Source organism: Homo sapiens, chromosome 10, assembly GCF_000001405.40.
Source record: "Homo sapiens chromosome 10, GRCh38.p14 Primary Assembly".
Taxonomy (NCBI): Eukaryota; Metazoa; Chordata; class Mammalia; order Primates; family Hominidae; genus Homo; species Homo sapiens.
In genome coordinates this window covers 106,524,253-106,536,296 of record NC_000010.11, presented here as the reverse complement: position 1 = coordinate 106,536,296, position 12,044 = coordinate 106,524,253, and the positions used below count along the sequence as shown (strand labels likewise).

General features: G+C 36.6%; 1 annotated feature.

Moving 5' to 3' along the window:
* Positions 350-1,090: an enhancer, noted in NCBI's record as "OCT4-NANOG hESC enhancer chr10:108294965-108295705 (GRCh37/hg19 assembly coordinates)". NCBI's record gives its function as "activates a minimal SCP1, AML or CMV promoter by ChIP-STARR-seq in naive H9 embryonic stem cells {active_cell/tissue: H9 hESC(naive)}" and the evidence as "EXISTENCE:reporter gene assay evidence [ECO:0000049][PMID:30033119]".

The window sequence follows — 12,044 nt, the reverse complement described above, 5'->3', positions numbered from 1 at the left end:
TGTATGTTAATGGAACTGCACTGTTTCTCTGCCTCATTAGAAAAGGGTTGTTAAGCTTTCAAACAATAAGTTTTTACGTATTCTAAAACAGAGCTGAGCATCAACAGCTGGAAAATTATATCTTTAAAGGCTTTTGTCTCACTTCAGAAGATGTGAATAGAGCAGGCTGTAGTATAGACGGGGGCAATATCTTTTTTTCTGAATTATATTTTCATAATATTTCTAATAGATAAACAAGGTCTGCATTTGTTTCAGGACTATGCTTGCTCACCCCTGTCATTTTCTTTCTTTGGGGTCTGTCTATACTTAATTCCTCATATGTAAAATGGAGCTAAAATCACCCCCTTTCAGTCCTCCCCTATTTGTGGATATGCATTGTGTAAGAGAAGCCAGAAAGGTTGACAAGGAGAAGGTCAGCCAACATGATGGAAACACTGTGGGTGTGGAGCCAGATGGTACTGGGTTGTCTTGCTGACACCAGCACTGACTTTGGGCAAGTATGAGGGAGTTCAGGCAGGCTGGTGGGAAGCATTTTAAAGATAGTTATAAGAAATAGTCACAAACCTTCTTGGAAGCCTGGGGGTGTTGCATAAGCTTCAGTCATAGATCTGGCTGAAGGCAGTCTAATCTTCACCTTGAGTAAATAGCTTAAAGTAGGTACAAAGGAATGTAAGGGAGTTTATCTAAATAGCTTGTTTACTCATGTGGTCCTAAAACTAACCTTTGATCTTTTGAGAGTAGGATGTCTCTCTTGGGGAGAGGGCGACTGGGTTAATTACCCTCTAGTGGTGTTGACTCAAAGCCTTTGTCATTTAATGTGTGCTGAATAAATGCCAGCAGGACCAGCTATTCCGGGCCATGGCTGCTACAACTCTTTCAGTCAGTGGCCTGGCCCCCTAGCCCACTCTTTCATTGAATATCAGTGTCTGAGTACGTTATTCATCCGTCGTACAGCTGGGGTCTGCAGGACAGTACCCAGCAGAAGTAGCTATATTTCACTGAACCTCTGTTTCCTCACTGGTACTATACCTAAATTGACAATACCTACTTGCAGATTTCTCATTAAGTACTAGAAATACTTTATATTAAGTGCTTATTATAGCACCTGGTAAATACTGTTTACTCAATAAACACTGACTAATAGTAACAGAGGTGGTCAAAATCATAGTTGTTGCAATAGTGACTTTATCATACAGGTTAAGTATTCTTTTGTTATAGGTGAGCCTTATCATATACTCATGAATTATTATTTTTTTTAATTTTAGAGCCTTCTACATTCCGTAGAATGTTTCTAAGACATTTCTCTGCAATATTTTAATTTTTTTCTTTTTTTCTAAGCAATATCCAGTTTATCTATGTTTAATATATCTTGAAAAAGTATTTTTAATTAATATAGCACTAACATAATTTGTAACTTTCAGTAGAAGACTCATCCACCTACCATACAGGTTAGGTATGCTTTTGTTATAGGTGAGACTTATCATATACTCATGAATTATTATTTTTTAATTTAATTTTTAAAAATTTTCTACATTTAATTTCTACATTCAGTAGAAGTCTCATCCACCTAGACAGCTTGGATGAGTGCGTTAGATAAGCTGTGATGTGAGGAACAGCATGTTGGCATGTGGGCTCTGGATTAGGGAGGCAGCAAGCAGCTGTGGATCCCAGAACACCAGAGAACACATGCCCTGTCTAAATGAGGCAGGCATCATTTGCTCGCTTCCAGCTGATTTTTTTTTCTTTTGAGAAACAAAGACCTCTGTTTTATCCATTTTTTTTCCTAAGAGAATCTAGAAAATCTGGATTTTATGCAAAATATCCTTCTGTAAATATTGACAACAAATTCAAAAGTATTGTGTATGCCAACAGTGTTAGGCTGAACACAACATAATTGTAGAATAGGTTCAGCCTGTGGATGCCAGTTTGAAATCTCTCATCTGTCCAACAGAGAGCAATATAGTTACTATTTATTTACACAGCATACACTATTGCTGGTAGGTACTTTTTAAGCACTTTACATATATTTATATTACATGTACTTATATTTAAGTATCCCAATGACCCTAGAAGATGGGTAATAATAATCAGTATTATTATAATCAAGTCCATTTTACAGATGAAGAAACTGAGGGAAAGGGAAGTTAAGTAACTTGCCCAAGCTGTCTGTTATTTAGCAGCAGAATTGAGATTTGAACCTAGGTAATCTGATTGCAAAGTGTTTGCATTTAATCCTAGAGTTTATATTATTTGAAATGAGTTGGTTGAAAAAAAAAAAAGGTAATCCTAAGGTATATAAACTCAAGTAATGAATTCTTATTTGCAAGAACTATTTTTAAATGAGATCTTGAAGTAGATAATTCTATAGGACCTAAATTTCATTTCAGGCACACACTATTCAATAGCATTTATTGAATTTGTACAAAATGCCGAGTTCTCAACAAGGAGCAGTAATGAGGATAAAGACAGAAGTCATGGACCTTGTCTTCAAGCATTTTTCAAGTAGTAAGAGAGAAAATGGATGACTAACATAGCATCACAATATATAAAATGTTTCCATAGGATATTTCTAAGGCTTTTGAAGAAGAGGGGGGATTGTGATTAGCTTGGTAATGGATGACTTCACAAACATGGTGGCATTTCAGCTAACTCCTAAAAAGCGAGTTGCATTTCAATAGAGATGGAGGTAGTAAAGACTCAGTATTAGCAAATATTTTGTGGCAGGAGAGACAATACTTTAGCAAATACAGGCAATAGTCTTGTTATTCTATAATTAAGATTTGCAGAGGAATAGAGAAAAAAAGAAGATAGGTATCAGAGGCCTTAAATGTGCCTGTGAGTGTGTTCGCTGTATCTCCCTGTTATAATTATATGAGTCCATTCCTTATTCATCATTTCTCTCTCTCACACATACACATATGCACAATTTGCATTCTCATGAAAACAATAACACCAAACTAGTATGAAATTTTCAGAAGGATCAAAATGTCTCTAACGATTGAGCAGAGTCCATTTTTGAAATGATTTACTATTGTTGCCCCCACAACAGAATTGTAAACAAAGAAAGAGCTATACAAATTATCCTTGTTTCATTTATAAAATAAAAATCGCAGGAGGTAGAGAGATTTCAGAATGAGACCATAGAAAGGAAGATAAATTTTAGCCAAAAGGAAGGGGTTATGGATGACCACAAGTGTCAACTGAGAATTACTGGACCACTACCTAGACTGAATTATGATTCTTTCTCCCCTGCAAGACTAACACTAGCTCTCTGTGATCTATTGCATGCACAATACTCTTAGGTAGACACAGTGATTTCAGAACTTCTTATAAGTGTTAGCTTCTACAATAAAATGCTAATACTTAATGATTACTACTAAGTAGAGGGAGCTCATTCTTTTCCTTTTACTTTTTTAAATTATTTATTATTTTAAAAATATAAATGAACCTGCAGCTTGAACTGATATGAAACTATTATGACACAATACACAATACTTACTAGAAATAAACCAAGACTGTGAGGGAAGGTTTTTCTTATATTTTGACTCTTAAACCTCCCTGTTAAATCATCTCTTCAAGTAAATACATTTTATGTATATAGAATGTTTAGCACACTGCATGGCATGGAAAACTGCTCTATGCATTTGGCTATAAAAGCAATATTACTTGTTCTTATTATTTCTATCATCATCAGCAGCAGATCTCTTCCCAGGCTGCATTGGAAAACTCATACCTTCAATTTATCTTGGTCATTAACTGCTCCGAAGATGGCACTGGATTCATGAAGTCTGACAAGGCAGAATTTGGACAATAACCTGTGGAAGGCCATTGAATTTCAGCACCAATCACTGTGAATCTATTTACTCGCTACAAAAGCCTTTAATTTACTGTGTTAAATCACAACTGTAAAAATTGTCAACTCAAATATTTCCCATCAACTATAAAGCATTAAAGTACAAATTCCATTTTTAAAACACACATTTATTATTCTCTCTTATTTCTTTTCTTTCTACTTTATTTTCCCCCAGGGGTTGGGAAGAGTGGTTCAAGAGGGGCCTGCCTTTGAAGTTATTTTAATCTTTACTCTATCTAGTCCTTTCCTGGACTCATTTAATATACTTGATTTTTAAGTCATAATTATATTCTCCAGAAACCAATTCATGACATCCTTCCTAAGAATCGTTCATTAAAATCTAATTTTTGCCTTCTAATTTTGGCTTTTTAGCTAATGAAATCTGCAGTAATTATAAATGTCCATCTTGCAAAACCTTCAAATTATTGGCATTTATATATAAAGTCAGGCAGTTGGAGAATGATATTAACATTGAAGTTAGCTCTTTCCTTTTCATTTCAATGAAGTTAAGGTAGTACATATATAGTCATGTATATTTAAATAAGAGTATCTCATTTAGTTTCTTTCAATATTTTTACACTGTCATTAGAACTCTTTTGAATGGTACCCAAGGGATATCACATCTAATTTAAACTTCAAGGCAAAAAAGACATCAGGAAACTTCAGATTCATTATTCAGCTTGATGATCTGAAAAGACTGTAAAAAAGTTTGTGTAGTATTTGGCTCTGATCTACTGAAGGTGTCCTGTAGTTTTCTGAATTATCAAGTGAAATTTTATCAAAAAGACAAATCATTTATGAAAAGTTAGTATACTTCCCTGGCTCACGAGTTTAAGCCATGTATAAGCAAAACAATAAGCTCTAAATTCCCTTGGCACTAACAATGTGAGAGCAGCCGGGCGCAGTGGCTCACACCTGTAATCCCAGAACACTGGGAGGCCGAGGCGGGTGGATCACGAGGTCAGGAGATCGAGACCATCCTGGCTAATACGGTGAAACCCCGTTTCTACTAAAAATACAAAAAATTAGCTGAGCGTGGTGGCAGGCACCTGTAGTCCTAGCTACTTGGGAGGCTGAGGCAGAAGAATGGTGTGAACTCAGGAGACGGAGCTTGCAGTGAGTGGAGATTGTACCGCTACACTCCAGCCTGGGTGACAGAGTGAGACTCTGTCTCAAAAAAAAAAAAAAATAAAAATAATGTGAGAGCTAGGCTATGCATCTGAATGCATCTGATATGAAAGGAGTAAAGTTGAAGAAAGCTCAGTACTAATCAATGTCTAGCCTGTATAGTCCAAGAATAAAGATCAGATCATGAATGAGGAAGTTCCACAAAATATGAGTTCCACTGAAGTTAGCTGTTGGAGGGGAGAATGCACAGGTGGTGTAGTAGAGAGAGGACACACTTTACCCAAAGATACAGAGTTAGAAATTGGCAAAGCCATGTTTCAAATCTAGGTCTATATGACACCAGATTTATAAGATGTATATGAGTCTCCATTCCATTATCTACAAAATAAGAATAATAACACCTTCTTCAATAGGTCTGATTTGAAGTTTAGATAAGACATTACCTATGATTTACTGAATATTTTCTATATACCAGTTTACCATTTTCATTTAATAGCAAGTGTGCCCTGTGGACTACAATGAGAAATTAGCTGCCATTCTAAAGCCTATTGCCCACTAGAATAAAATATGAAAAGCAGATGGCCCTCAGTTTCTTTCCCTTGATCTGGTGTCTTAGACTCATGCAAATATATATTTATATATCTTCCTTAGAGATATAGACTTATGCAAATATATCTTAGACTCGTGCAAATATGTCTTTATATATCTTTCTTGGAGATAATTGAGTGGGAAATACAAACCTCTGAGCCCCTGCACTGACTTTGTGCTTTGGGAGGGCAGCTGAGCTGATATTGACATCAAAGAACCAGTACTATGAACACTAATTTTGATAAAAATAATTTATATTCTTCTAGCATAAAATTGAAAAAGAATTAGCTAGGTTAATGTACTTCCTCTTATTTCCACACCAAACTTAATTTCAAACACCTTGTCTAAATCTGATAGCTTTAGAAACAATATTTAATAAAGGGTTATATCAGCTAAAGTCTTTTATTCCAACATCAAGAAGCATCCATTCTTTGTGAAATGAGTAAATTCTTAATATTATTTGGCTTATTTCTTTCCATTTTAGCTTTAATAAAAAACAAATTATTTTCTTAGGGATTTCTATAAAATTTATTGTCTTCATAGGAAGTCAGAATCCATGGTTATAGAACCATTAACCCATAAGATTCTTGAGGTTCGGTGTTACCTATTCATTATTTAAGTGGGGCCCAGAGCAAGCACTGTATTTATTCATATATTTATTCATTAACTTTGCATGTATTTAGTATTTATTAATATGCACCCAGACACTTGAAGGACAAAAATATTTTTACATGTTTTTATTTTTCTTGCCCTCTAAGATCTTAGAGATGATTCAGAAAGACATGATTAATGAGTAAAACTAAGTTACTAGAGGATAAAAATACATGTGTAAAATGTACAATGTATTAATAAAAAATGATACTTACCACTTAAATGATAGCTATATGCCAGGCACTGCATATTTATTATCACATGTAAAAGTTACACGTGATCTTCACTGAAGTCAACAAGATATATACAATTCATCTCCTTCTAAAGGGAAGAAATAGAAATAGTGAATGATTATGTGGCTTCTGGATGCCACTTTTGCCAAGTTAGTGAAAGAAGTAAGACTGGGACCAAAGGGGGTCCCAATTCTGTCCACTCTTTGAGACAATCTTCTTCACATAAAGAACGTCAAAGTCAAAGCCCAGGGGAAGAAAGCATGGAGTGAGATTAGACAGGAAAAGGTCCATAGATATATAGTCTCTCTTTATATCAATATATGTCTGTTTAGATTGTAAGCTTTTATAATACTATAATCCTTTCAAAAACAAGTTATTTACTAATTGGTTTGTACTGATATAGAAATGATGCATTTTTCATAAATATTAAAGTCTTTGGAGGCCTATGGATTAGAAATATGGATTCATTTGCTGGGTGAAATGAGAATACATCTGCAATTGGGAGATGCACAGGCTGAAAGGCCACTGAAATCATAAGGTTTAACCTTCAGTTTTGTAATCAAAGAACGGAATTTCAGCAATGTGTTCAGTTCTGTGTACACATTTAAGAGAAAAGTTGAAAAACGGAAATGTGTTGAATACTTATACAACATCTGAAAATGACAAAGACAATAAATGTACAATGCATTCTCAAGTATGAGATAAAGACCGTAAGAGTTACAAATGTATTTCCCATAGCGGTCTGTACACACTCAGGTTTGTGCTTATCTCTTCACATTGTAATTATTTACATGTTGACCTTTTCTTCTGAAATATAAGAATTTAAAAACCCAGACCTGTGTCATACTGATATTTGCATCTCTGCCAGCTAGTGACTTTGTATCTTGCACATAATAAGTTAACAGTGAATGAATAAGAGATCAATAAAAGATCAGTAGTTCAAAAAGTTCACACAGGTCCTGTCCTAGTCCATTTTGTGTTGCTGTAACAGAATAACACAGACTGGGTAATTTATAAATAAAAAGGATTAGTTTCACAGTTCTGAGGATTGAGAAGTCCAATATCGGTGTACAGGCATCTGGTGAGGGCCTTCTTGGTGCGTCATCCCATGGTGGAAGGCAGAAAGGCAAAAAAGCATGAGAAAACGAGATCAAACTTGTAGCCTCAAGCCCTTTTATCATTGGTAGTAATCTATTTATGAAGGTGAACCCCTCAAGACCTAAATCCTCCCATTAGAGTTGCATTGAGGATTACGTTTCTGACATGGTTTTCTGAGAAATTCAAGCCATAGCATTCTTTCCCTGACCCCAACAATGCATGTCTTTCTTACATGCAAAATACGTCCATTCCATCCCAATAGCCCCAAAGTCTTAACTCATTTCAGTGCCCACTCAAAAGTCCAAAGTCTCATATAAATCAGATATGGGGAAGCCTCAAGGAAGGATTCATCCCGAGGCAAATTTTCTTCATCTGTGAGCCTGTGAAATCAAAACAATTTGTGTGCTTCCAAAATACAATGGCAGGACAGTCATAGGATAGACATTCCCATTCTAAAAGTGATAAATAGGTAAGAAGAAAGGGATAACTGGTCCCAAGTAAGTCCACAACCCAACAAGAGAAATAGTGTTAAGTCTTAAAGCTGGAAAATCATCTCCTTTGATTTCATGTCTTGCATCCTGGGCACACGGGCAGGGACTGGATCCCAAGGCCTCAGGCAGCCCCATCCCTATGGTTTTTTTGGGTGTGGTGTACTCAGTACCTTGCAATGGATGAAGTCTCATACTTGCTTCTTTCCCAGGTTACAGTTGCATGCTGGTGGACCTATAGTTCTGGGGTCTGTGAGATGGCTTTGCTGCCATGGCTCTACTAGGCATTGCATTAGTGGGGGAATCTCTGTAGCAGCTCTGCCCCCACATTTTGCTCAGCATTACCCAAGGAGGAGATCTTTGCAGTGGCTCTGCCCCTGTGACAAGTCTTTGCCTGGGCCCCAGGCTGTCAGTGACATCCTTTGGGCAGCGGCTCTACCCCTGTGACAAATTTTTCCTGGGCCCCTAGGCTGTCAGTGACATCCTTTGGAATCCAGATAGAGGCAGCGGTGACCCCACAGGTTGTACATTCAGTACATCTGCAGAGTGAGCACCATGTGGATGCTGCCATGGTTTAAGGATTTGCTTCCAGAGTAGTGGCACAAGCCACATCTAGGCCCATTTGAGCCAAAGCTGGGGTGGCTGAAAAGCATGATGCTGGAATGCAGGGAATAGAGACAAGATGGTGCCGGGGCAGCAGATCCCGAGGTTCTGCTGGCACCTCTGTGGGGAAGACTTGCCTTCAAGATTCTGGCTTGCCTCAAATCTCTGAAGGGTTATCAGGTTTATTCTCTTGTTTTCTTGATGAATGGAATCTAGCTTTCTTCTAGCCATACTAATCTTCTTAGCAAACTTGCTTGGCCACACTCATGGTTTGTTCTCCTAAACACATCGTTTTATTCTTTACATAACTAGGCTGCAAATTTTCCAAACCTTTCATATCTGCTTCCCTTATAATTATAAATTCCATCTTTAAGGCATTTCTATTTTCTCTTATTTTTCTGTAAGCAGCCAAAGAAGCCACGCAGTATCTTGGATGCTTTGCCACTTAGATATTTCTTCTAGTTCATCACCATTGAGTTCGGCATTTCACAAAGTCCCTGGATATGGAGGCAATTCCTCCAAGTTCTTTGCAACTGTGTAAAAACGATGCCCTTTACTCCAGTTTCCAATATCTTATTCCTCATTTCTATCTGAGACCTCATCAGAATGGCCTTACTATCTGTAATTCTATCAATATTCTGATCCCAATCACTTAAGTAATCTTTAAGAAATTTCAGAGTTTCTACAACTCGTCTCTCCTGAGCCCTCACCAGAATGGCCCTTATGGCTCCATCCATGACAGTATAGGCTTCTTATAACCTGCTTCTCCAAATTACCCATTATCGAGTTCCAAAACTGCTTCCTCATTTTCAGGTGTTTATGATAGCAACAGCTCCATTTCTGGTATCAGACTTCTGTCTTTGTTTTGTGTTGCTATAACAGAATTCCAAAGACGTGGTAATTTATAAAGAAAATTATTTGTCACGGTTCTGGAGGCTGGAATGTCTAATATTAAGGTAGCAGCAACTGGCAAGGGCCTTCTTCCCATTTCATCTCATGGCAGAAAGGCAAGAGAGAGTGAGAGAGCAAGACATCAAACTCATAGCACCAAGCCCTTTTATAATTGTCAGTTATCTATTCATGAGGGGGGAGTCTTTGTGACCTGATCCCTCCTAGTAGCCCACATCTTCCAACACTGTGGCACTGGGGAACTAAGTTTTCAACACATGCTTTTGGGGGGACATATTCAAACCATAACAGGGCCTGAGTCCAGATATCAAAGACTGAGTGGGATTAGAAAGGGGAGAAGGGAGCAAAGAATATTTGCAGCATGGAGAACTTGATGGCATAAATCACAGAGGTGGAAATGATTGTTGAATGTTGATGGATCAGGAAACCATGAGTATTTCCAGCAGAAACAGGATAAAGACAAGGGAAAGAGAACAATAGGGAAGGAGCTTCAGTAGGCCACAGATCATGAAAAATCTTGAAAGTCAGGAGAAGAAATTGAAATCCACAGGACTTACAGTAAGAATGAAGAGCTTTGGGAAAAGGAGTCAGAAGTGAGATGGTGGGAATGATGATTAATATGTAGATTGAACAGAGAGATACAGAATGAACAGGAAGACCACCTGGACAGATCCCATGTGACCGATGTCAGCAAAAGAGCAGTTACCTAATAACTTCCAGTAATCTGATTCTATTATTCATGGCTCATCTTACAGAGGTTGGGGAAAGTAGATCTTTGCAGCTCTATTGCATTCTCAAAACTAGAGGATTCATTCAGTCATTTATTCAATATGCATTTCTTGAATATCTATCATGTGTCAGGGAATGTGCAATTTGTTGAGATTCAAATATTCAGAAACTGATTAAGGATCTGGAGCTCACTCTGTCACAGAATGTTCAGCTCAAATCTCTAATCAATTTGTACTCTAAAATTTTTGAATAAAGGATACTTTCTTTTGTAATGTCTTATAATCAATTTTGCCTTTAATACCATGGCATCAAGCTTTTCTCAGTTGTATTGTACTGTCATGGTACAATATTTAGGTTACTATCTGATGGCATTGTAGACATGAATATTAGGTAAAGCAATAATAAATGGAGACAGTATCACTCTAGAACATTCAATTTTCTGAGAAAATGACAAAACTTCAGGTATAATAGTATACTAAATACTGTTGAAATGGGGCCAAATCATGCTTAAAATATGCATCATTTTGCTACTGATGTTGATTTCACTCTGTTAATGATATGAAATTGTATTCCATAGGTCAATATTAATCACTATGTTGATTGCTTCTGAAGGAGGTAAACTGCTATAGTATGTATTAAAGAAATTCCAGGAAATAGAAAATAAGCCAAGAGTTATTAGCACTCAACTAAGAGAAGAGCAAATACATCTGATGCTGTCTAGATGTTTTGTTGGCCTGATGATTCCATGTTTCAAGGGATGTCATTGCCTAGATTTGCAAATATACAAGTGACAGGAAAAGTTGACTTGTAAGAATTAGGAGAAAATGGCTTATTTAATGAGGGAGTCATAAGACATCCCTATGTATCCATATCTATGGTATACATTCATGTCTGTGGTATACTAATGTGATCCTACAAAATTAACAAGACTATCCTGTTCAGGGGTAAGCTGAGATCACAATAGCAGTAATAACATAATTTTGTTATGGTTATAGTTTTTTGTTGTGCTCACCTACAAGAACTCCACTTTCCTCTAATTCTTCCTGATTTTGATGAGCTCACACATGAATTATATTTGCTTTAATTTGTGCCTTTTCTATTTTTTCTATGCTGTATGTATCACTTACACTATCAGGCTAAAAGGTTACAAAAATGTAGCTCAATCCAAACAGTTATTGAAGTCTCCAAGGGGCATCTTACATGCTCATGAACTCTTTGTTTTCTTTATGAAGTATATTTTTATTTTATTTATGTATTTACTTTTTATTATTTTTGTTATCTTCCCATAGCTTTTTGGGGTACAGGTGGTATTTGGTTACATGAGTATGTTCTTTAGTGGTGATTGGTGAGATCCTGGTGCACCCATCACCCAATATGTGGGAACTAAGCTATGAGGACACAAAGGCATAAGAATGATACATGCTCATGAACTCTTGCTTATTTTTATTTGTTTTTCTCCTCCTCTGTTGTATTGTCTTCTGCTGAGGCCATCAAAGACTCCTTGATATGCTATGCCATTTCCTTCTTTCTCTGGTCCAGCTCTTTGCTCACACTAACTTACATATTTCACATTTTCCAACACATGATGCCAAGAAAGATAATATTTCACTCCCCTACTTTTGATTTATTCTATTACCTAGGTTGCATAATAGAACTAATTCATTTCCTTATTGCTTTCAAAAAGTTTGGTAAAGGCAACTCTTCTATTATTACTGATTTTATTTTATTTAGTTATTTATTTTTGAGATGGAGTCTTGCTCTGTC